This window comes from Homo sapiens, chromosome 1 (genome assembly GCF_000001405.40).
Source record: "Homo sapiens chromosome 1, GRCh38.p14 Primary Assembly".
Classification (NCBI taxonomy): Eukaryota; Metazoa; Chordata; class Mammalia; order Primates; family Hominidae; genus Homo; species Homo sapiens.
Genome location: NC_000001.11, coordinates 226,187,602 through 226,211,603, shown reverse-complemented (window position 1 = coordinate 226,211,603; position 24,002 = coordinate 226,187,602). Strand labels below are relative to the sequence as shown.

The 24,002-nt window shown below is 45.5% G+C and overlaps 1 long non-coding RNA gene and 1 pseudogene across 1 annotated transcript, besides 2 other annotated features; one reads left to right on the top strand and one right to left on the bottom strand.

Annotated features, from left to right (window-relative positions):
- Positions 409–1,130: an enhancer, noted in NCBI's record as "NANOG-H3K4me1 hESC enhancer chr1:226398175-226398896 (GRCh37/hg19 assembly coordinates)". NCBI's record gives its function as "activates a minimal SCP1, AML or CMV promoter by ChIP-STARR-seq in naive H9 embryonic stem cells {active_cell/tissue: H9 hESC(naive)}" and the evidence as "EXISTENCE:reporter gene assay evidence [ECO:0000049][PMID:30033119]".
- Positions 7,655–8,156: an enhancer, noted in NCBI's record as "H3K27ac hESC enhancer chr1:226391149-226391650 (GRCh37/hg19 assembly coordinates)". NCBI's record gives its function as "activates a minimal SCP1, AML or CMV promoter by ChIP-STARR-seq in primed H9 embryonic stem cells {active_cell/tissue: H9 hESC(primed)}" and the evidence as "EXISTENCE:reporter gene assay evidence [ECO:0000049][PMID:30033119]".
- Positions 14,230–23,708, bottom strand: LOC101927247 (uncharacterized). The gene is made up of 2 exons (XR_001738504.2): positions 23,671–23,708; positions 14,230–14,552 (listed from the first exon to the last, which is right to left on the bottom strand). It is a non-coding gene; the product is annotated as an uncharacterized LOC101927247 (long non-coding RNA).
- On the top strand, positions 22,341–22,773 carry RPL34P7 (ribosomal protein L34 pseudogene 7; annotated as a pseudogene).

The following is a 24,002-nucleotide window of genomic DNA, read 5'->3' as shown; positions in this document are numbered from 1 at the left end:
CAAAACCAACGTGTGCATAGTAATGAACACATTACAAACCACTGCTCATGGAGTATCTTGGTGATTCTTCCTACACTAATGTTGGTGCTGATGTTATTGATGCTGCAGATTTCATGAGGTGGAGACACTCACTTTAGCTCAGTCGACAGCCCCTCCTGCCGTCCATGGCCTCCACCTGGCCAGGCCCCTGGCAGGCACTCACACTGCCAGTCTGTCACATCTCACCACACTGCTCTGCAAAGTCAGTGTTTTTTCAGGTGTGCTCATCTTGGATCCCATCTGGTCTGTGAGCTCCTGGTGGGCAGGACTCCATGTTAATGGCAAACTCAGTGACCAGCTCAAATGGTGGTCGCTCAGGCAGTGGTTGTAGGAAATGCTGGAACCCCAACTCCTGAGGGTGCAGAGGTAAGGAACCCATTCAAGTTGCTGAGATTCAAGAGGATAAGGACAAGGACAAGGGACAGTGTCCACCCAAGAGCAACTGTCTGGTTCACTATCTCTTTCTGGAAGACTCAGCAGGGGTTCTTTCAGCCCCTACAGGTTTCTGTCAACTGATTTATCTCAAAAAGGAACCAGAGGGCAGAGCTGAAGATTTGCAGCTTTACAGCCTGGAGCAACTGTCAGCTTCTCCCAGAGCCTCAGTTTTGCCAGCATTGAAATGGGGAAGTGGTCCTTGCCTGCTGCCTTCTTCCTGGGGGTTCTTTGATAGTTGAAACTTTTCACGGCACTTTCAAAGGCTCAGATGAAAGGCAGCCATGGGATGAAAGGGTCTTGGGGCCATATTAAGTTTCTCCTGGGTTTTTGAAGCCTTGGAGGAGCGGCAAGAGGAAGTGGTCAGCTGACAGGTACTTGTGAAGCCCCCCAGAGGGTGATGCCGGTGGGGAATTAGCATGCCAATCAGTCACACCTAGGGCGCGAGGGGGGATGGGATGCGGGAGGACAGCGCTTATCAGGAATGAGAATCTGTGATTTCCCTGAGGAGGGGACTTGTGACAACATGCTGAGGAAACTGGGCCCAAGGGATGGAGGCCCACAAGGCCGCCTTGGTAACTTCAGGCGAGGCCTTTCCTCTCTGAGCCTTAGTTTCCAGATGTGTCAAAGGAGAAGATGGGGTGCTTCCCAAACTTAGCTGCATATCAGAATCTCCTGGGGGCATTTTTAAAATTTGGATACCGGGCTGCACCCCAGATGAAAGAAATCTAGGTCTCTTGGGGCGGGTGGGACCCCAATATTAGGAATTTTTAAAGCTCCCCGGGTGATTCCAATATGCGGCCTGATTCGAAGACTGGAATAGAGGATTTCTAGAATTCTGTGACTCCATAATCATAACTCACTTTCCTACCACATGAGCAGGCTCTGGGGGCTTTGGTAGGGGATCTGGAAATTTAACTGCTCTGTCTGAGTCTTTGGAACACCCTATGTGTACAGTACTTAAGTATTAATTTATTTTCAACCATTTCTCAATTGTACATCAGAAGGTAAAATATGGCAGAATTGAAATCAACCTATAATCTTTCCAGTACTCTTTTTGGTCAGGTTTTATTCTCCCCATTGGCCAATTTTTTTTTTTAAACTTAGAGTTGCAAGTAGATAATCTCATTAAACGATTTGGTATTTTTTATCTCTTTTCTTTTCTCCTGGCACTCTTTGGTAGAAACCTCAGTGAACAGTGAAATATGATCTGAAAGCCAGCAGCCGGGAGAGGGAAGCAGCACAAGGATTATCCACCAACCTCAAATCACCAGAAGGAGAAGGGTTTGGAAAGCCTGAGGCCTGGCTCCTCTCCCTCTCTCTGCCTCAGAGACTCCAATCAACTTTCCCCATCCCTGTCCAGAGTGGCCCCGGAAGAGCACCAGCTCCAGATTCTCACCAAGTCCCATGATGGGGCTCTGGACCTGTCCTGGGACCCTGGGTGCAGAGAGGGAACCTGCAATGCCTGAGCATCAAGGACACTCTGAGAACAGAGTTGTCATCTCAGGAGAGGAAATGACTCCAGAGAGGAGATGACCTTGGGAGTCCGACCACTTCCCGCACGTAGCGCAGGTGCCTCCTGGCTCAGAGGGGCATTTCAGCCATCTGCCGGAGGCAGCTTCAGAGAACGGAAAAAGAGCGGCGCCGTGTTGAGTTGCAGGAACAGCGCGGACAGACGGAGACGGCCAAATGCCTGGTGGGCTTTTCACTTGTGCCACCTGGACCCTCCTGTGCTGGGATTGGATGTGTGTCCCCTCAATGATCCAGACTCTCCCCGCACCCCCAGTGTCTGAGGCTCTGTAGAAGGCCCTGGGGCAGGCCCTCACTGTCCATCATATCGCACCAGGTCTGGCAGACAGAAGGTGGCCCCAAACTGCCCAGGCAGCTCGCCTCGTTTCCCCGGCTCCGCTGGAGATGGAGTCGTGTGTTCATCTGACCACCGATAAAAACCCTTAGGAATGAATATGTTGGGCTTTTATTACAGGACCTTTTCGTGGACTCTGATCAACAGTGTGCTGCATGGAGGTTCCAGTTGCAAACCTGCTGAGGCTTTGCTCTCAAACACACCCACCTAGAAATGAGCAGTGACTCTACAATCCAGTGAAGCCCTACAGCCCACTGCGGCCTATGGCAAGAAGGAGAAAGCAGTGTCTGTGCTGGGCTCGGCACTTTTCTAGGTGTTCTGTGCATTATTACCTTGACAAATTCCCCGACAATCCACTCTTTATGCACTGTTTCTCCCATTTGACAGGTTGGGAAACTGAGGTTCTGAGAATGTAGATGAGGTGCCCAAGCTTCCATAGCTTGTACGTGGTATAGATGGGTCTGCTCACCCCCTCCAAACCCCACTCCATTTCTGCCACTACCCTGTGGACTCCTGGCACTCCATTGGAGACCATGGGAAAGCCAGGGTCACCTGTCTCAGAGCTTTCCTACTCCCTTCCAGCCATTGAGGAGCATCCAGGAATGAAGCTATTTCTTCCACGGGAACCCCAGAGGGACTGGACCTTGAGATGACAACTGTGTACTCAGACAATCCATTTGGGGAAAAACAGTTATGCCCTGGCTCTGCTGGAACCTACCATCTGGTCAGTGTGCCCTCCTTCCCAACCTCTCTCAGAACAATCAGAAAATCAACCAGAAGTTTAGTATTTCTTTTTTTTTTTTGAGACAGAGTCACTCTGTCACCCAGGCTGGAGTGCAGTGGCATGATCTCGGCTCACTGCAAACTCTGCCTCCCAGGTTCAAGTGATTATCCTGCCTCAGCCTTCTGAGTAGCTAGGATTACAGGCAGGCACCACCAAGCCTGGCTAATTTTTGTATTTTTTGTGGAGACAGGGTTCCTGGCCTCAAGCGATCCGCCCATCTTGGCCTCCGAAAAAGCTGGGATTACAGGCATGAGCCACCACGCCTGGCCAGAAGTTTAGGATTTCTGAGCCCCTAAGGTCCCTCACTCAGCCGCAGACCTTCTCTCTGGCCCCGGCCCCTCCATTCCATGCATCTCCTGGAAGACGTCCTGGCCTCTGGGAACTGACACATTCACAAGGTATTCATGGAGCACCTCGCTTGAGCTTACCTGTTCTAGGCCCTGTGAACACAGCAGGGAACAAAACAGCAAAATCTCAGCCATCTTGGGGACAATAAACAAAATCAATACATGATTATACAATAATTTAGTGTGGTATAATTATGTTTTTTGTTAGAAGTGGTAGGGTCTTTTCCGTCAACTGGTAGTGACTTGGGCCAACACTTAACCCCTGATTTCTTGTCCATATAGTCTGGGAAGGGGGATAGGGAATAGGGTGGAGATTACACTTTTAAATAGGATGGTTAGAGTTGCACGCAGTGGCTCATGCCTGTAATCCCAGCACTTTGGGAGGCTGACACAGGAGAATCAGTTGAGCCCAGTAATTTGAGGCTGCAATGAGCTATGATGACACCATTGCACTCCAGCCTGGGTGAGAGAGAGACCCTGTCTCTTTTTTTTTCCCGAGACAGGGTCTTGCTCTGTCGCCCAGGCTGGAGTGCAGTGGCATGATCTTGGCTCACTGCAGCCTCCGCCTCCCAGGTTCGAGCGATTCTCATGCCTCAGCCTCCCGAATAGCTGGGACTATAGGCGTGTGCCACCATGCCCAGCTAAGTTTTGTATTTTTAGTAGAGACGGGGTTTCACCATGTTGCTCAGGCTGGTCTCCAACTACTGATCTCAAGTGATCCGCCCACCTCAGCCTCCCAAAGTGCTGGATTACAGGCGTGAGCCACCATGCCCAGCCGACCTTGTCTCTTAAAAAAATAAAACGGAGTCATACAAGATGTGATCTTTTGTGCCTGGTTTCTTTCACTTAGTGTAGTGTTTTTGAGGTTCATCTAATGTTATTGCATGTATCAGAACTTTATTCCTTTTTATGGCTGAATAATATTCCATTGTATAGATACCACAATTTATTTTACAAATGAAGTTGCTGGGGCTTTGGGACAGGACCAAGTAACTTACCCAAAACCTGGTTACTCAAGTTGTTTGGCAGCCAAGCCTGGACTCAAACCCAGGTCTGCCTGATACCACAGTCTAACCTCACCACGGCAACCCTCCATTGCTCCATCACTCACTTCTTCAACTCCAGCACATTCATAACCTCCCAAGTTAGCAACACACAGTCTCGTGTCATTCCTGGAGCCGTGTTTGTGGATGGTTGGCTTCCTGAAGACACGGCCATGACCTGCCCTTCTCTCCTCCCCTCAGCACACACTGAACACAGAAGAGGTGCACAGGGAATATGTGTTGCTGGTCACTTGACCTCTCCACATCTGATCTGATAAAGCAGCACCAATAGAGGATTGCTTGGGTGAATTATGGTACATCCATAAGACAGAATGCTGTTCAACTATTAAAAATTGTGTTGTGGCCAAGCACGGTGGTCCACGCCTAGGTAATCCTAGCACTTTGGGAGGCAAGGTGGGCAGATTGCTTGTGGCCAGGAGTTCTAGACCAGCCTGGGCAACATGGAGAAACCCCATCTCTACAAAAAATACAAAAACTTAGCCAGGTGTGGTGGTGTGTACCTGTAGTCCCAGCTACTCAGGAGGCTGAGGCAGGAGGATCACTGGAGCCCAGAAAGTCAAGGCTGCAGTGAGCCAAGATCAAGCCACTGTACTCCAGCCTAAACATCAAAGTGAGATCCTGTCTCAAAAAAAAAAAAATTAATTAAAATTGTGTTGTGAAATAACACTGATTGTCATGGGATAATGATATATTGCTGAGGGGGGAGCAAGCTACACAATAAAACAATATGGAAAAGATACAGTTTCTTTTCTCTCTCTCTTTTTTTTTTGAGATGGAGTCTTGCTTTGTCACCCAGACTATATTGCAGTGGCACGATCTTGGCTCACTGCAACCTCTGCCTCCCGGGTTCAAGTGATTCTCCTGCCTCAGCCTCCCAAATAGCTGGGATTATAGGCATATGCCACCATGCCCAGCTAATTTTTGTATTTTCAGTAGAGACAGGATTTTCCCATGTTGGCCAGGCTAGTCTGGAACTCCTGCGCTCAGGTGATCCATCTGCCTTAGACTCCCAAAGTGTTGGGATTACAGGCGTGAGCCACCACACCCAGCCAAGATACCATTTTCTTTTTCTTTTTTTTTGAGATGGAGTCTCACTCTGTCGCCCAGGCTGGAGTGCAATGGCTCGATTTTGGCTCACTGCAATCTCCACCTTCTGGGTTCAAGCGATTCTCCTGCCTCCTGAGTAACTGGGATTACAGGCATGTGCCACCACACCTGGCTAATTTTTTTTTTTTTTTTTTTCTTTTTGAGACGGAGTCTCGCTCTGTCGCCCAGGCTGGAGTGCAGTGGCATGATCTCAGCTCACTGCAACCTCTGCCTCCTGGGTTCAAGCGATTCTGCTGCTCAGCCTCCTGAGTAGCTGGGAGGACAGACACACCACCGCGCCTGGATATTTTGTTGGTATTTTTAGTAGAGACAGGGTTTCACCATGTTGGTCAGGCTGGTCTCAAACTCCTGACCTCGTGCTCTGCCCATCTCAGCCTCCCAAAGTGCTGGGATTATAGGCATGAGCCACTGTGCTCGGCCTTTTTTTTTTTTTTTTAAGACAGAAGCTTGCTCTGTTGCCCAGGCTGGAGTGCAATGGTGCAATTTCAGCTCACTGCAGCCTCCGCCTCCTGGGTTCAAGCGATTTTCCTGCCTCAGCCTCCTGAGTTGCTGGGATTACAGGGACCCACCACCATGCCCAGATAGTTTTTGTATTTTTAGCAGAGACAGGGTTTCACCACGTCGGCCAGGCTGGTCTCGAACTCCTGACCTCAGGTGATCCACCCACCTTGGCTTCCCAAAGTGCTGGGATTATAGGTGTGAGCCACCACGCCCAGCCGACTAATTTTTTTACTTTTTTTTGTAGAGATGGGGTCTCACCGTGTTACCAGGCTGGTTGGGAGACCCTGTCTCTACAAAAAAAAAAAAAATTTTTTTATTAGCCAGGTGTGGTGGTACACCCCTGTAGTCCAGCTACTGGGGAGGCTGAGGCAGGAGGATTGCTTGAGCCTGGGAGGTTGAGGTGGCAGTGAGCCATGATCATGCCTGGGTGACAGAACAAGACTCTGCCTTGAAAAATAAATAAATACATAAATAAATAAATAAGTAGAAACTCAATCCTGGGAAGTGGGACTGGGAAGTTAGGGTAGGGAAGAGGAATTTTACTTTTCACCCTTATACCCTTCAGTGCTGTGTTAATCTTTTATTTTTTTCCCACAAATATCTATTATTTTGTGATAATTAAAAAGTAAATATATTATTAGAAAATAAGTTAATAAGAAATAAAGGATTTTTTTTTGAGACGGAGTCTCGCTCTGTCACCCAGGCTGGAGTGTAGTGGCGTGATCTCGGCTCACTGCAACTTCTGCCTCCCAGGCTCAAGCGATCCTCTCACCTCAGCCTCTTGAGTAGCTGGAGCTAGAGACATGAGCCACCATAGCTGGCTAATTTTTGTATTTTTTTTTTTTTTTGGTAAGGACAAGGTTTCACTATGTTGCCCAAGCTGGTTTCAAACTCCTGAGTTCAAGTGATCCTCCTTCCAACCTTCCAACATGCTGGGATTACAGGCATCAGCCACCAAGCCTGACTGGATATTTCTTTATTAATGATTAATATTAATCATTAATATTTATATGATTATATTATTTGATTATAGTTGTAGAATATATTTATATTTTATATTTATTAAAATACATGATATATTAAAATATATTGAGTATAAAATATACTAAATATAATTAATATTAAGGATTAATAAATAAATTACATAAGGAATAAAAATTATATAAGAAAATATTGCCTTATCCCCTGCCTGTCTGCCTTTTGACTGATGTGTGCTGTATGTACTATGAGCCTCTCACCTGTTCTGCACCTAATACAACAGCCACCATAGCCCTGCTTCCCAGACACCTTAAAAAGTTGTTTTGTTTTAAATAGATGTAGCCTGGCACACATGCCTGTGTCATGAGGGAGAGCATGGCTGGCCTGCTCTCTTGGTACTTATTATAAGGTCCTTCTTACTGGGGGTTTTATTCGATTATCACCTTTATGTCTGTTCCAGCCAGAATCCTGCTGTGTGACACCTGGGAATCCATCACCCTAGTCCCTGCTCTGGGGTTTGCACACCACATTTTCCTGGGTGTCAGGACTTCCTGGTGCTTGAAGATATGCAGTGAGACAGGGCTGCTTCTGACTTTTCAGAGTTCCTGCCTCTGACGCCTCACATAGCAGCCCCTGGACCCAGTGTTCTCAACAGTGGGGGATCTCTTCTCAGAGGAGAAAAGGCTCAGGCCTGGAGAGGATGGGCCTGGTGATTGCTGGGTGGGGCAGGGGATGCCAGATGTCCTGCAATGCACAGGTCAGTTCACTCAACATCCCTCGTCCCTGGACAGTTATGGCGACAAAAACACAATCTATAATTATCTGAGCCTAGAACCTGCGTTTTTACAAATAAACACGGTGAATTTGTGCATGGTTTTAACATATGATGAATTTTTCAAGAAAGCATCTATTACTGAAACTAATTTGTTTCTCAAGGGTTGTTTGAAATTTAAAAGATCACATCACCCACAGAGAAGCTGGTATCCATCTGCATTTGCAGCAGATGTATTCAGGGTGGTTCCATGGATAGGTTCAAACCTCTGACCACTTCATGATCATCCTAGGAGTCATGTACAAACATTCACAGTTTTGTTATTAGTCACTTTCCCTGTATGTCTCCTTTATATTACAATTAGGACATTTACAAATTCATTGGGTACATATGTTGTTTTATTTATGAATTTCTTTCACATGGTAAAAGGGATATTAAAAACTGTCTGTTTAACAAAGAGGCTTTGGGTCTGATAGGGCTGAGATCCATGGTGCTCAGGCCTCAGGGTACATTAGAACAGAGACCACCCCAATCATCCTGCGCCAGGAATATATGGTAGGTGCTCAATTAATGTTTGTTAAATGAATAACTTCACTAGGAAAATCTTTCCAAGAAATTAGCAGCAGCTCTTTGTTCTGTCCTTTGCAGTAAGTGACCAGTACATACTTCTTTTTTTTTTTTTTTTTAAGACAGAGTCTCTCTCTGTCACCCAAGCTGAAGTGCAGTTGTGCGATCATGGTTCACTGCAGCCTCAACTTCCTGGACTCAAGCGATCCTCCCACCTCAGGCTCCTGAGTAGCTGAGACTACAGGCGCATGCCACCACGCGCAGCTCATTTTTTGTATTTTTTGTAGAGATGGGGTTTCACCATATTGCCCAGGTTGGTCTCAAATTCCTGGGCTCAAGTGATCCGCCCACCTCAGCCTCCCAAAGTGCTAGGATTACAGGTGTGAGCCATTGTGCCCAGCTACATAATTTTGCAATGAATGTGTCAGATGGTTGAGCTTTTGGCAGAAGAGGAAAGCTGCAAAAGGTGAGTTTAAGATAACCTTGTCACCTAACCTGCCCTTCAGGGACTGTAGGAACACTAGAGGGGAAGATGCAGTAAATTTAATTCAGGAAATATTCTCTGAAGGGAAATAAAGCTAAAAAGAAATGCTTCTGACCTTTATATTAGATTTATTCACCCATTGAACAAATGTTTGCTCAATATTTATTATGTGTCAGGCACTAGGAGGCATAGCAGCTATGGTAGCAACAGGTGCTGTAGCTCAAAAAAATCCTACAATAGGCTTTGAGGAAAAGATTATTTTTAAAAAATACAAGTATGGGCCAGGTGCGGTGGCCCAGGCCTGTAATCTCAGCACATTGGAAGGCTGAGGCAGGTGGATAAACTGAGGCGGGTGGATAAACTGAGGTGGGTGGATAACCTGAGGTCAGGAGTTCGAGGCCAGCTTGGCCAACATGGTAAAACCCCCGTCTCTACTGAAAATACAATAATTAGCTGGGCGTGGTGGTGGGCACCTACAGTCCCAGCTACCTGGGAGGCTGAGGCAGGAGAATTGCTTGAACCCAAGAGGCGGAGATTGCAGTGAGCCAAGATCGCGCCATTGCACTCCAGCCAGGGCAACAGAGCAAGACTCCGTCTAAAAAAAAAAAAAAATACAAGTATGTACACAATAGAAAGATTTTTGAAATAAGCCATAATCTTCCTTCCCAGTTAATTCTCAGTGGCATTTAAAAAATAATGCATGTGGAAGACTGGAAAATTCAAACAGTACAGAAAGTAGGAAATGAAAGGTTAAATCTCACCCATATATATCCCATATATTTTTATTTTTTAATCTACATACATATTTCAATCCAAAAGAACCCTACTATATGGCTGGGCATGGTGTCTCATGTCTGTAATCTTAGCACTTTGGGAGGCTGAGTGGGGAGGATCTCTCAAGCCCAGGAGTTGGAGATCAACCTGAGCAACATAGTGAGACCTTGTCTCTACTAAAAATTTAAAAATTAGCCAGGCATGGTGGCGCACATCTATGGTCCCAGCTACTCCAAAGGCTGAAGGAGAAGGATTGCTTGAGGCTGGGAGGTCAAGGCTGCAGTGAGCTGTGATTGCACCACTGCATACCAGCCTGGGTGACAGACAGAGAGAGAGCCTGTCTCAAAAAAAAAAAAAGAAAGAAAAAAGAACCATACTATAAACACGGTTCTGCACCTTGCTTTTGTAACATAGTAATATATTTTTGAGATCTTTCCATTTTAGGGCATGCTTGTTAACAACTACTAGAACTCCACTGAATGGATGTACCATAATGTATGTCACTTGTCCCTTATTGATGGGCACTCGACACTGTCTCTATCCTGTGCACACTTTTGAGAGCTCTCTGCACCCCTCGCCATGAGACTGGATTTAAATCTTGCTTTCCCCTGGCCAGCCCCAAGCAAAGAGATGGGAGGAGGGCTTTGTTTCTCAAACAGCAACCTCTGCTGGGCCAGGCCAGGAAAGCACCCCACTAGGAAACAATCGTATTAACAGAACCTGTGTTAATAGAAGCTTTCTGGTGGCAGAATTCTATCTAAATTTTTCTCTTTATATTATTCTGTTAACAAAATTTTCTACAACAAACGTGTACTTTTACAGTAAAAAAGAAAAACACCTAGATTTTATCTTGAATAGTTTTCTGGCAGCTGGGAATGCCTTTTCCTTCTTGTGTAGTGTTCCCTTGAGTGGTTTACCTACAGCAGCCTGGATGTGGAGTAGGAGCTGGGATTTCTGCCTGTGTTCTGGCATCTGGTGACAGGATCTTTCTTATCCCCTTGTTGACTCAGGACTCTGGGAGGGTTTTATAAAAATAGCAATAATTAAATAGCTGACACTTATGGAGAATTAACTGTGCCAGTCACTATTCTAAGTGTGGTTATATGTGTTAACATACACAACATCCTGATTAGGTACTATTACTATTGTTCCATTTTGCAGACGTAGCAACTGAGGCATGGGGTGGTTATGCAACATGCCCAAGATCACACAGCTAGGATAGTGTATAACTGGCTCCAAAATTGTGCAAACCAGCTCTAGAGTCTACTCTGCTTAGCACTGCCCTCTCTCACCTCTCTGTTGAGTAATGTTCTGTTATTATAGATCTCCCTGACCCTTTGTTTCCTCACCTATAAACATCTACTTCAAGAAAAATTTGAGAAATAATACCAAATAGATAAAGCGTGTAGGGCATAGTATATGTGAAATACATTAACTAACTTTGGGAGGTCAAGATGGGAGGATCGCTTGAGCCCAGAAGTTGGAGACCAGTCTGGGCATCATAGGGAGACCCCACCACTACAAAAAGTTTAAAATTTTTCTGAGTATGGTGGCACATGCCTGTAGTCCCAGCTTCTTGGGAAGCTGAGGCAGGAAGATGGCTTGAACCCAGGAGATGGGGGCTGCAGTAAGCCATGATAGTGCCACTGCACTCCAGCCTGAACAATAAAACAAGACCCTGTCCGAGGAGAAGGAGAAGAATGAGAAGAAGGAGGAGAAGAAGGAGAGAAGGAGAAGAAGGAGAAGGAGGAGGAGGAGGAAGAAGAAGAGGAAGAAGAGTAGGAGGAGGAAAGAAAAGAAAAGAGGAAATAAAAAGAGGAAGGTGAAGAGGAAGCAGGAGAAGGAGAAAGAGGAAGAGGAGAAGAAAGAAGAAAGAAGAAGAAAAAAGAAAAAAAGAAAAAATTAACTAACCGTTATTAATATCCTGGGAGATCCCACTGAGGGGGATGGGGGTTTGGGAGGTAAGCTGTATACGGACCTTGATCTTCCAAGGATATACCCTTGAGGAATGCTCTTGATCAGATCTGTGGAGGGAAAATGATGGATTTCACCCCACATGTGAGCAAGATGCATGAGGCAAAAACCAGCCAGGGCTGGAGGCACTGCTAGAACTTCAGGATGGGATTTGGACACACATCAGGTTCTAGAGGAATGAAATCATGTCTATGCAAAGATTTGTATCTAAATGTTCATAGCAGTTTAATTTGTATTAGCCCAGAATTTGAAGAAATCCAAAAGTCTATCTACAGGTAAATAGATAACATGCACCCTATGCACGTTGCTTAACCTCTGTAATTTATTTATTTATTTATTTATTTATTTATTTATTTATTTATCTATCTATCTATCTATTTTGAGACAGAGTCTCGCTCTGTCTCCCAGGCTGGAGTGCAGTGGCACGATCTCTGCTCACTGCAAGCTCCGCCTCCCGGGTTCCAGCCATTCTCCTGCCTCAGCCTCCCGAGTAGCTGGAACTACAGGCGCCTGCCACCGCGCCCGGCTAATTTATTATTATTTTTTTTTGTATTTTTTAGTAGAGATGGGATTTCATTGTGTTAGCCAGGATGGTCTCGATCTCCTGACCTCGTGATCCGCCTGCCTCGGCCTCCCAAAGTGCTGGGATTACAGGTGTGAGCCACCGCCCCCAGCCACCTCTGTAATTTAGTTTCCTTTTTTTTTTTTTGGTACAGACAAGGTTTCACTATGTTGCCCAAGCTGGTCTCGAACTCTTGGCCTCAAGCCATCATCCATCTCAGAACCCCAAGTGCTGAGATTACAGGTGTGAGCCACCATGCCTGGATAGTTTCCTAATTTTTCTTTTATGTTTTAATTGAACTGAACCTGGAATTTCCTTATTTTTAAATGGGGACAAGCTGGGTACGGTGGCTCATGCTTGTAATCCCAACACTTTGGGAAGCTGAGGCAGGCAGATCACCAGAGGTCAGGAGTTCGAGACCAGCCTGGCCAACACAGTGAAACCTCATCTCTACTAAAAAAAATACAAAAATTAGCCGGGCGTGGTGGCAGACACCTGTAATTCCAGCTACTTGGGAGGTTGAGGCAGGAGAATCGCTTGAACCTGGGAGGTGGAGATTGCAGTGAGCCGAGACTACGCCACTGCACTCCAGGCTGGGCAACAGAGCAAGACTCCATCTCAAAATAAATGAATAAATAGGGACAATGATTCTTCAACAGCTATTGCAAGCTAACATGAGACAATGTATATAAAGAGTTTAGCCTAGCTCCTGGCATTTTTGAGGCGTTTGGTAGCTATTACTGGCACTCTTTAATGGTCAGTTCTAATAGTTAGAAAGCTATTGAGATGATATTGGTCCCCTATAACTTCCTGGTATTGCCATGCCAGGAATTCTGCATACAGTTTCAGTTGTTCCGCAAACTTTTTTTTTTTTTTTGAGATGGAGTCTTGCTCTGTTGTCCAGGCTGGAGTGCAGTGGCATGATCTCAGCCCACTGCAACCTCCACTTCCTGAGTTGAAGTGATTCTCCTGCCTCAGCCTCCCTAGTAGCTGGGATTGCAGGCGCATGCCATCATGCCCAGCTAATTTTTGTAATTTTTTTAGTAGAGATGAGGTTTTGCCATGTTGGCCACGGTGGTCTTGAACTCCTGACCTTAAATGATCCACCTGCCTCGGCCTCCTGAAGTGCTGGGATTACAGGTGTGAGCCCCCGTGCCCAGCCGGTTCAACAAACACTGATTGGGCATCTCCTGTGTGCCAGGAACTGGGCCAGGTTTGTGAGCACAACTGAATATAAAAGAAGACCAGCTTCTGTTTACATGAGAGTCACTGGGATAACGATAGTCATCATGGATTCCTTGACATATCTCATTCTTAGGTTCAACCTCCTTCTCCCAGATCCTTTTACTGCACCTCTCACATCTTTTTGTTTGTTGATTTTAATTAAGTCTCAAAAATACCCCTCCTCCAGGAAGCCTTCGCAAACTGCACTAAGCAATTATTATGGCCCCTTTCTGATCATCCTTTCAGCACTTGGGGACCCAGTTCCCACTCTTCCTATTTGTTTGCACTTGCCAATTTTATTTTCTTTTTTGAGACAGAGTCTCACTCTGTTGCCCAGGCTAGAGTGTAGTGGCACAATCTTGGCTCACTGCAGCCTCCACCTCCCGGGTTCAAGCAATTCTCCTGCCTCGGCCTCCTGAGTAGCTGCGATTACAGGTGTGTGCCACCCCAACTGGCTAATTTTGTATTTTTAGTAGAGGTGGGGTTTCACCGTGTTGCCCAGGCTGGTCTCAAACTCCTGACCTCAAGTGATCTGCCTGCCTTGGCCTCCCAAAGTGCTGGGATTACAGGTGTGAGCCACCGCGCCTGGCCTATTATATTATTATTGCTAGTATTATTTAACTTCATGACACAGCTCTGTACTCATTTTTCTTCCATTTTTTGACTGCATACTCCTTGGTCTCCATATGGTAAGTTCATAATTTGTCTATAGAGAGAATAGAAAGATAATTCAGTCTTTCCTTCAGCACAGCTGACTCCACTTTGGCTTTTTTATTGATCATTTAGAAAAGTTTCATTCTCCACAGTATACTGCCTGGGGCAGACCTGCCCAGAGCCCCAGGTTTGCCCCAGCTCTGCAGCTCCCAGGCGGGGCCTCAGCGACCTCTTCTTCCCAGCCAGCCCCATCCCATCCCTCTGCCAGCCCCATAAGCACTGAGCGGCTGGGGCAGCGCTACCGTCTCCGGCCAGCAGGTGGGGCCGAGGTGCCCTGAAGCTTAAGCCTCGGTCTCAGCATCTTTTGAACGAGTCCTTGGAATCAGAGGTCTCCTTTCCCAACCTTTCACGTCTTCTTGCTGTAACTGGAGGATATTATTTCATAATAATTATCATTATTATTACTATGTGAATGTCAGTTTGCAAGACAAGTGGAAGAACGCTCCCAACATTGTCAATGTTATGGGATTTGGGGAGACTTGTTTTTTAAAAAACAAATTTCTGGCTGGGCGCGGTGGCTCATGCCTGTAATCCCAGCACTTTGGGAGGCCGAGATGGGCGGATCACAAGGTCAGGAGATCGAGACCATCCTGGCTAACACGGTGAAACCTCGTCTCTACCAAAAATACAAAAAAATTAGCCGGGCGTGGTGGCGAGTGCCTGCAGTCCCAGCTACTTGGGAGGCTGAGACGGAGAATGGCGTGAACCCGGGAGGCGGAGGTTGCAGTGAGCCGAGATCACGCCACTGCACTCCAGCCTGGGCGACAGAGCAAGTCTCCGTCTCAAAAAAAGAAAAATCAAACACTTACAGATTTTTTTTTTTTTTTGAGACAGAGTCTTGCTCTGTCGCCCAGGCTGGAGTGCAGTGGCGTGATCTCGGCTCACTGCAAGCTCCGCCTCCCGGGTTCAAGCAATTCTCCTGCCTCAGCCACCCGAGTAGCTGGGACTACAAGCGTGTACCACCACGCCAGGCTAATTTTTGTATTTTTAGTAGAGACAGGGTTTCGCCATGTTGGCCAGGCTGGTCTCGAACTCCTGACCTCAAGTGATCTGCCCACCGGTATTTGATTTTTTTTTTGTTAGAATCATCTTTACTTTTGAATCTGAAAAAAATATGTATAATTTCATAATGGACAGTGGCCCTTAAGAGTGTTTTGGGGCTGTGCACAGTGGCTCATGCCTGTAATCCCAGCACTTTGGGAGTCCGAGGTGGGTGGATTGCTTGAGCCCAGGAGTTTGAGCCCAGCCTGGGCGACATAGCAAAATCCTGTCTCTACAAAAAATACAAAAAAATTTAGCCAGGCATGTATGCCTGTGATCCCAGTTACTTAGGAGGCTGAGGTGGGAGAATCACCTGAGCCCAGGGAGGTCGAGGCTGCAATGAGCTGTGATTGCACCACTGTACTCCAGCCTGGGCAACAGAATGAGACCTTGTCTCAAAGCAAAAAAAAAAAAAAAAAAAAAGAGTGTTTTGGACATGAAGTCCAGAGAGAAATGATTATAGCGACTATAAAAACCATATCTTATCTATTTATCATATTTTAAAGTTTCTAGAGCACTTTCACAGAGATAAGTTAACTTAGACCTATCAACATCATGTGATGAAACTAGGGCAGAAACAGTTTCTACTTTTTACAGATAAAGAGACAGAGGTCCAAAAAGTGGGTCTCAGATTGCCACAGTTAAATGTAATGGACTCCCATTCCCTCACCTACTCTGGTTAGCTCTGCTGGCTCTATTGACTGTGCTACTAATCTCCTCTTTCTTGTCATCTCCCTACCCTGCTTCTCTTCCAGATCTCATTATTTTCACCTGGACTGTAAGGGGAACCTCCATTCTGAGCTCCCTGCTGCCAGCCTCTCCTGCAGCCTCTCCTTCATGACATTCCCTTGCATAAAATCCTTCACTGGCTCCCCACCACCTACAGGACCACCGCAGGCCAATCTTTCTAGGCCCTGCACACCTGGCCCCTGCTGGCCTCCCCAGGCTCATCTCCTATCTCTCCACCCTTGCAGTAAATGCTCCAGCCAGGGATAACTAAACATGCCAGGCTCTCTTAGCCCTCAGGGCATTAGCAGATGGTATTCCTTCTGCCTATCTGATTGTTTCCACATCCTTCAGATGTAAAGGAGCACAGGGACCAATCAGATAATTCTATCCTGTGTGGAAGCCATCCACAAACCTTCCAGACATTGTGTATTCCTCTTTCTTCTATCTTAGGGAGTTATGAATGCCTACAGTGGTGCTGTAGACAGAATGTTTACCTCTTCCTAAAACGTGTATGTTGAAACCTAATCCCCTATGTGTTGGTATAGGAGGTGGGGCCCTTGGGAGGTTATGAGGTCATGAGGGGAGAGCCCTCATGAATGGGATTAGAGCCCTTATAAAAGAGACCCCAGGCCAGGTATGGTGGCTCACACCTGTAATCCCAACACTTTGGGAGGCTGAGGCAGGTGGATTACTTGAGTCCAGGAGTTCAAGACGAGCTTGAGAAACCCCATCTCTACAAAAAAAATACAAAAATTAGCCAGGTGTGATGCAGTGTGTCTGTAGTCTCAGCTAATTGGGAGGTTGAGGTGGGAGGATCACCTGAGCCTGGGAGGCGGAGGTTGCAGTGAGATTGCGCCACTGCACTCCAGCCTGGGTGACAGAGTGAGACCCTGTCTCAAAAATAAAATAAAAGAGACTCCAGAGAGCTCCCTTGTCCCTTCTACCATGTGAGGACTCAGCCAGAGGATGGCCATCTATAAACTAGGAAGCAGGACTTCACCAGACACTGAATCTGCTGGAGCCTTGATCTGGGACTTCTCAGCCTCTCGAATGGTGAGCAATAAATTTCTGTTGTTTTTAAGCTACCCAGTAAATGGTATTTTGTTATAGCAATTCAAGCAGACTAAGACAGTGGTCAGGCAAGTAACAATATAAATTGATAGAGAGCTGTGTAAGATGATAAACCGATTTTTTTTTTTTTTTTTGAGACAGAGCTTTGCTCTTGTCGCCCAGGTTGGAATGCGGTGGCGCGATCTCGGCTCACTCCAATCTCCACCTCCCATGTTCAAGTGATTCTCCTGCCTCAGCATCCTGAGTAGCTGGGACTACAGGCACACACCACCACGCCTGGCTAATTTTTGTATTTTTAGTAGAGACAGGATTTTGCCATGTTGGCCAGGCTGGTCTCGAACTCCTGATCTCAGGTGATCCACCCACCTTGGCCTCCCAAAGTGCTGGGATTATAGGTGTGAGCCACTGCGCCCAGCTGATAAACTGATTTTTATCATTTTCTACAAAACCAAATATAGGTCCATGATAGATAGCATGGACAGTGTCTGTCACCATGGGCTGGGGGACTGTTGAGAACTTGAGAGCACATGTCTCTCCTGAAGAAGGCATTCTCTACACAACTGCACCTCATTGTTGTCAAGCACCAGTGTCAGGCCCACAGTTGCCAGATTTCTTAGTTTTTTAAGGTAAGTCATAAATCTGGATTTTTACATTAAAATTCCAGATTTTAAAATGCTAGCAACCAATTCAAATTTAAAGCATTATAGGGGCTAATTCTTCCAAGCCAAATAAAAGATACTAGTGGGTAGGCTTTATCTTGGGAGCCCCGAGTGTGCAAACTCTCTTTTACATTGTAAGGGAGCATTGTATATAATAGTGGACAAAATTTACTAAAGGCCCAGTACGTGTCAGGCTAGTCCTTTTTGCTATGTTGCCCAGGCTGGAGTATAGTGGCACGATCATAGTTCACTATAACCTCAAATATCCACTTACCTCAGCCTCCTGAATAGCTAGGACTACAGGTGTGCACCACCACACCTGGCCAATGTTTGAAATTTTTTGTAAAGACAGGGTCTCGCTGTGTTGTCCAGGCTGGTCTTGAACTCCTGGCCTCAAGTGATCCTCCCACCTTGGCCTCCCAAAGTGCTGGGTTTACAGGTGTGAGCCACTGTGCCTAGTCTCAAACAGGTCCTTTTCTATGTGCTTTACATGTACAGTATTCATAGATTCAGTCCTCTCAACAGCCTAAGAGGGGGATAGTACTATTATTCTCATTTTATAAAGGAGGAAACAGAAGTAAAGTAACTGACTCAACGTCACGAGTTGGTAAAATTCCAGCACTGGAAGCCTGGCCCTAATTTGGTGCTTTTGCCACAGTCTCACCTACTGGACCATAAACACCTTGGGTGTAGATACCACAGCACTCACCTTTGTATCCTAAAATACCTGGTATACGGCCAGGCATGGTGGCTCATGCCTGTAATCCCAGCGCTTTGGGAGGCCAAGGTGGGCGGATCACGAGGTCAAGTTCGAGACCAGCCTGGCCAAGATAGTGAAACACTGTCTTTACTAAAAATACAAAAATTAGCTGAGCATGGTGGTGCGCACCTATAGTCCCAGCTACTCAGGAGGCTGAGGCAGGAGAATTGCTTGAACCCGGGAGGCAGAGGTTGTGATGAGCCTAGATCATCCCACTGCACTCCAGCCTGGACAACAGAGCGAGACTCCATCTCAAAAAAAAAAATAATAATAAATAAAATAAAATAAAATACCTGGTATACAAGGCACTCCTTACATGTATGTTGAGCTGAACTGATATCGTACATAATAGTGTAATTACACCTTCATTCATTCACTCAGTAAGACATTCTGAACACCTACCATGTTTCCTATCCTGTGCTAGGGACTGTGGAAGTCCAGGGAAATGCCCCTTGATCTCTAAGTGCTTGCAGTCAAGGAATACAAAATAATTTTCACTACTAAAGGGTACTGCATTACTAAATAAGACTAACTGCAAAACTTTACTGAGTACTGATTATTAGTTCACCAGAAAAAGCAGGAAACAAAAAGTTGAACTCAGTCCCTGTCTAGTGATCCACGATATTTACAGAAAAGATGAAAATATGTGGAGAGAACAAATGGAAAGTCTAAATTTCAGAAAGCATTTCAGAAATGGTAAACACTTCATGTGGAAAATTATTGAATGGAATGGAGCTTAAGAAATTCACACAGCAAAGTTTGCGGATTGGAAAGTATCCTTTTTTGGCTGGGCGCGGTGGCTCATGCCTGGAATCCCAGCACTTTGGGAGGCCAAGGCAGGCAGATCACCTGAGATCAGAGGTTCGAGACCAGCCTGGGCAACATGGTGAAACCCCATCTCTACTAAAAATACAAAAATTAGCTGGGCATGGTGGTGCATTCTTCTTTTTTTTTTTTTTTTTTTTTTTGAGATGGAGTCTTGCTCTGTCACCCAGGCTGGAGTGCAGTGGCGCGATCTCGGCTCACTGCAAGTTCCGCCTCCTGGGATCGAGCCATTCTCCTGCCTCAGCCTCCCGAGTAGCTGGGACTACAGGCGCCCGCCACCACGCACAGCTAATTTTTTGTATTTTTAGTAGAGACGAGGTTTCACTGTGTTAGCCAGGATGGTCTCGATCTCCTGACCTCGCGATCTGCCCGCCTCGGCCTCCCAAAGTGCTGGGATTACAGGCGTGAGCTACCGCGCCTGGCTGGTGGTGCATTCTTGTAATCCCAGCTACTCAGGAGGCTGAGTCAGGAGAATTGCTTGAACCCAGGAGGCGGAGGTTGCAGTGAGCCGAGATCGCGCCACTGCACTCCGGCCTGGGCAACAGAGTGAGATTCCATCTCAAAAAAAAAAAAAAAAGTATCCTTTTTTTTTTTTTTAAATGAAAGCAAGTTTATTAAGAAAGTAAAGGAATAAAAGAATGGGTACACCATAGGCAGAACACCCAAAAGTATCCTCTTTTATAAAAGAACAGACATGGAGAAGATATTTGAAAGTTTTCAAAAATACACCTTTTTGATCAATCTGTGTGCCTCCTCACATATAAAAGACAGGGATATAGAAAAACAGGTAGTTGGCCGGGCACGGTGGCTCACGCCTGTAATCCCAGCACTTGGGGAGGCCAAGGCAGGCGCATCACGAGGTCAGGAGATTGAGACCATCCTGGCTAACACGGTGAAACCCCGTCTCTACTAAAAATACAAAAAAATTAGCCAGGTGTGGTGGCAGGAGCCTGTAGTCCCAGCTACTCAGGAGACTGAGGCAGGAGAATGGCGTGAACCCGGGAGGCGGAGCTTGCAGTGAGCCAAGATCGCGCCACTGCACTCCAGCCTGGGCGACAGAACGAGACTCCGTCTCAAAAAAAAAGGAAAAGAAAAACAGATAGTTGCGCTGAACTGTTTATGTAAGTTAGATTCTACTGTGACAAGTGCATTATAACAAAGATCTATTGAAAAATCTTGGGGGAAGAAGGAATTACAAAACAGTAATGGATGTTTGTTATTTTATGGTAATGGTTATACAGGTATATGCCTGTGCCAAAACTCATCATATTGTAAACTTTAATATTTGCAGTTTATTATACAACAATTATACTCAATAAAGCATGGGAAAAACACGTTTCCTAGACTTGCTATTCAAAGTGTGGTCTGTAGACAGCAGCATCGGCATCACCAGAAAGCTTATGAGAAATGTATACTCTCAGGCCTCCCTCTATACCTACTGAGTCAGAATCTGCAGTTTAATAAGACATTCAGGTGAGCGTGTCTGGAACTCATCTCCCACAGTGAACTGTTAAAGCGAAGTTATATTCTCTAATTTTTTAATTTTATTTTTTAGAAACAGGGTCTCCTTCTGTCGCCCAGGCTGGAATGCAGTGACGCCATCATGGTTTACTGGAGCCTTGACCTCCCAGGCTCAAGTGATCCTTCCACCTCAGCCTCCCAAGTAGCTGGACCCTAGGCACATGCCACCATGCCCAGCTAATTTTTTATTTTTTGTAGAGACAGGGTCTTCCTATGCTGCCCAGGCTGTTCTCAAACTCCTGGGCTCGAACAATCCTCCTGCCTCAGCCTCCCAAAGTGCTGGGATTACAGGCATGACGCACTGTGCCAACCCCTAATGTTTTTAGTCATTAAGGGCAACCACCTACACAATGGCCCTTGATGTTTCGATTAGCAAGAGGTTCAGATGCTTGGTCTAGAGGATGTTTGGGTTTTCCAACCATATTCAATATGTTAAATTACAAAACAATAAAAAAGTCCATATAATTTTTTTTAATGTATGTCTTTTTTTGAGACAGTCTCTCTCCATCACCTAGGCTGGAGCGCAGTGGTGTGATCTTGGCTCACTGCAACATCCACCTCTCAGGTTCAAGCAATTCTCCTGCCTCAGCCTCCTGAGCAGCTGGGATTACAAGTGCCTACCACCACGCCCAGCTAATTTTTGTATAAAAAGTCCATGTAATTAATTAATTACCATATTTTACCTACCTTCCTAGGTATATTCTATAGGTTTTAATAATTATTGTATACTTTTTAAAAAAATAACTTTTTTTCTGATTACAAAAGAAATGCTTATCGTGAAAACTTGGAAAACAGAATCTAGCATTTCATGAAGAAGGGTTATATTTACCCTACTCATTATCATCCCAACAGTTATTGAATGTTAAAGGTAGAACACTGAGCAAAACACAGGGGAATATATATGTATATATAACATTTTGAAGGTTAGGCACATAATATGCATATTTTTAAGCTAATGAAGCTAAATATAAAGATCCAAGCTAAGTGGGAAGAACACAGACCTTAGAGCAGTAGAATTAGAGTTTTTAGTCCTCTACAACTAGAAGTGGGTTTACCATAAAGTTAATGAAGCTCAAGCTTCAGGGCCCCTTGCTTACACAGGCCCCTCCCAAGGCCCTTAGAGCGGCCTTAGCAGTATACACTTCTGTAACAGTTTTGAGAGTAAGATATTTAAGACCTCTGTCTTCGTTTCTAACTTCCCTTCGTCATCCTCCTCTGGTTAGGAGGTATTGAAATGGCTATAGGCTTTGTGGGGGATTTGGCTAAGGGGACAATGAATAGGGATACATTTAATTTGGGGTCAGTGGCATGCATTTAAGTGGTTTGCAGTCACTTCTGCATGTTTTTAAATTATTGCTCACCATGGGTGTAGGAATGGCTTTCTGGAATATACCTACTGCCCATTATGTCAATTCAGCCAGCACCATGTCACAAAAGTGCAAGGCCAAAGGGCGAAGGAACCCTATGTTGCCTGACACAGGAAGTACTTGGGTAGTGGAGGAGCAACAAGGTTTGAAAGAAAAGAAAGAGCTAGTAAAATTCTTCCATTCTTTTTCCTCTTCTGGGGATGTTGTCTATAGGCACATAGAATGGTCCAGCGTTTGACATACTGTTGTAGGCTTTCCTACAATACAGCTTCTAATAAAACTAGGCTGTCCTGAACCCCTGGTAATATAATTGCTTACCTTTATACCAAGAAGGCTGGGAAAGCACCAAAATCTACTGTGGTGTGTACCCACGCAGACTTCAAGGGGTTCGTGCTATAAGACCCGAAGTCTTATGAGATTGTCCAAAACACAAAAAACCATGTCAGCAGGGCCTATGGTGGTTCCATGTGTGCTATATGTGTTTGTGACAGGATCAAGCATGTTTTCCTTATCGAGGAAAAGAAAATCATTGTGAGAGTGTTGAAGGCACAAGCACAGGGTCAGAAAGCTAAATAAAAAATGAAGCTTCTTTGAGTAATTAAAATTAAAAGACTTAAAAATATGCTTCCAACCATCAGAAGTGGAAGATTATAAGGAGAGGGATCAATTCTCTCAATGCCTAATCAAAATGAAGGTTCTCACTCACTGAGAATCTAAGTCATATCTGCAATTATAACTGCACCATACTTCATGTTTTTATGTGAAGCATGCAAAAGGGAATAGATTAGAAACCCTATGTTTATGGGACAAAAACTTATAGTTGTACTACAGTGAGTCTGTCTGTATGTGAAGTTATATGTCTTATCCACCGTAATGAATGAGATCCTGTCTGAATGCAGCATACAAATCTTGTCCTGAAAAAAACCCTCGGCCAGGCGCGGTGGCTCACGCCTGTAATCCCAGCACTTTGGGAGGCCGAGGCGGGCATATCACAAGGTCAGGAGATTGAGACCATCCTGGCTAACACGGTGAAACCTCGTCTCTACTAAAAATACAAAAAAATTAGCCGGGCATGGTGGTGGGCACCTATAGTCCCAGCTACTCAGGAGGCTGAGGCAGGAGAATGGCGTGAACCCTGGAGGCGGAGCTTGCAGTGAGCCAAGATCGCGCCACTGCACTCCAGCGTGGGCGACAGAGAGAGACTCCGTCTCAAAAAAAAGAAAAAAACTCTCTAGGGCTTCAGTAAAAACCACACACAAAATTGTCACTGAAGCAGCCAAACGGCCATAAAAATCTCATAGCACATCCATGAAACTTGAGAGAGGTTTCCCAAACTGAACAATAACCCTAAAAAAGTACGTTAACAATATCAGTAATGAGTTGTGATGCTGAAATAAATTTATAAACAATTATTAAGAAACAAATTTAATCAGCCATGCTGGAGAAAAGACTGATCTTTCTCTTTTCTTTATAGAGAATTACAAAATACGCCGGGCGCGGTGGCTCTCACCTGTAATCCCAGCACTTTGGGGAGGCTGAGGCGGGCAGATCACATGAGGTCAGGAGTTTGAGACCAGCCTGGCCAACATGGGGAAACTCTGACTCTACTAAGTTTACAAAAATTAGCCGGGCGTGGTGGTGAGCACCTGTAATCCCAACTACTTGGGAGGCTGAGGCAGGAGAGTTGCTTGAACCCGGGAGGCAGAGGTTGCAGTGAACCGAATTGCACCACTACACTCCAGCCTGGGTGGCACAGCAGGACTGTCTGCAAAAAACAAAAAAAAAAAAAAAAAAAAAAAGTTACAAAATAATTGTTATAGGAAAAGGCAATCAGAAGTACGC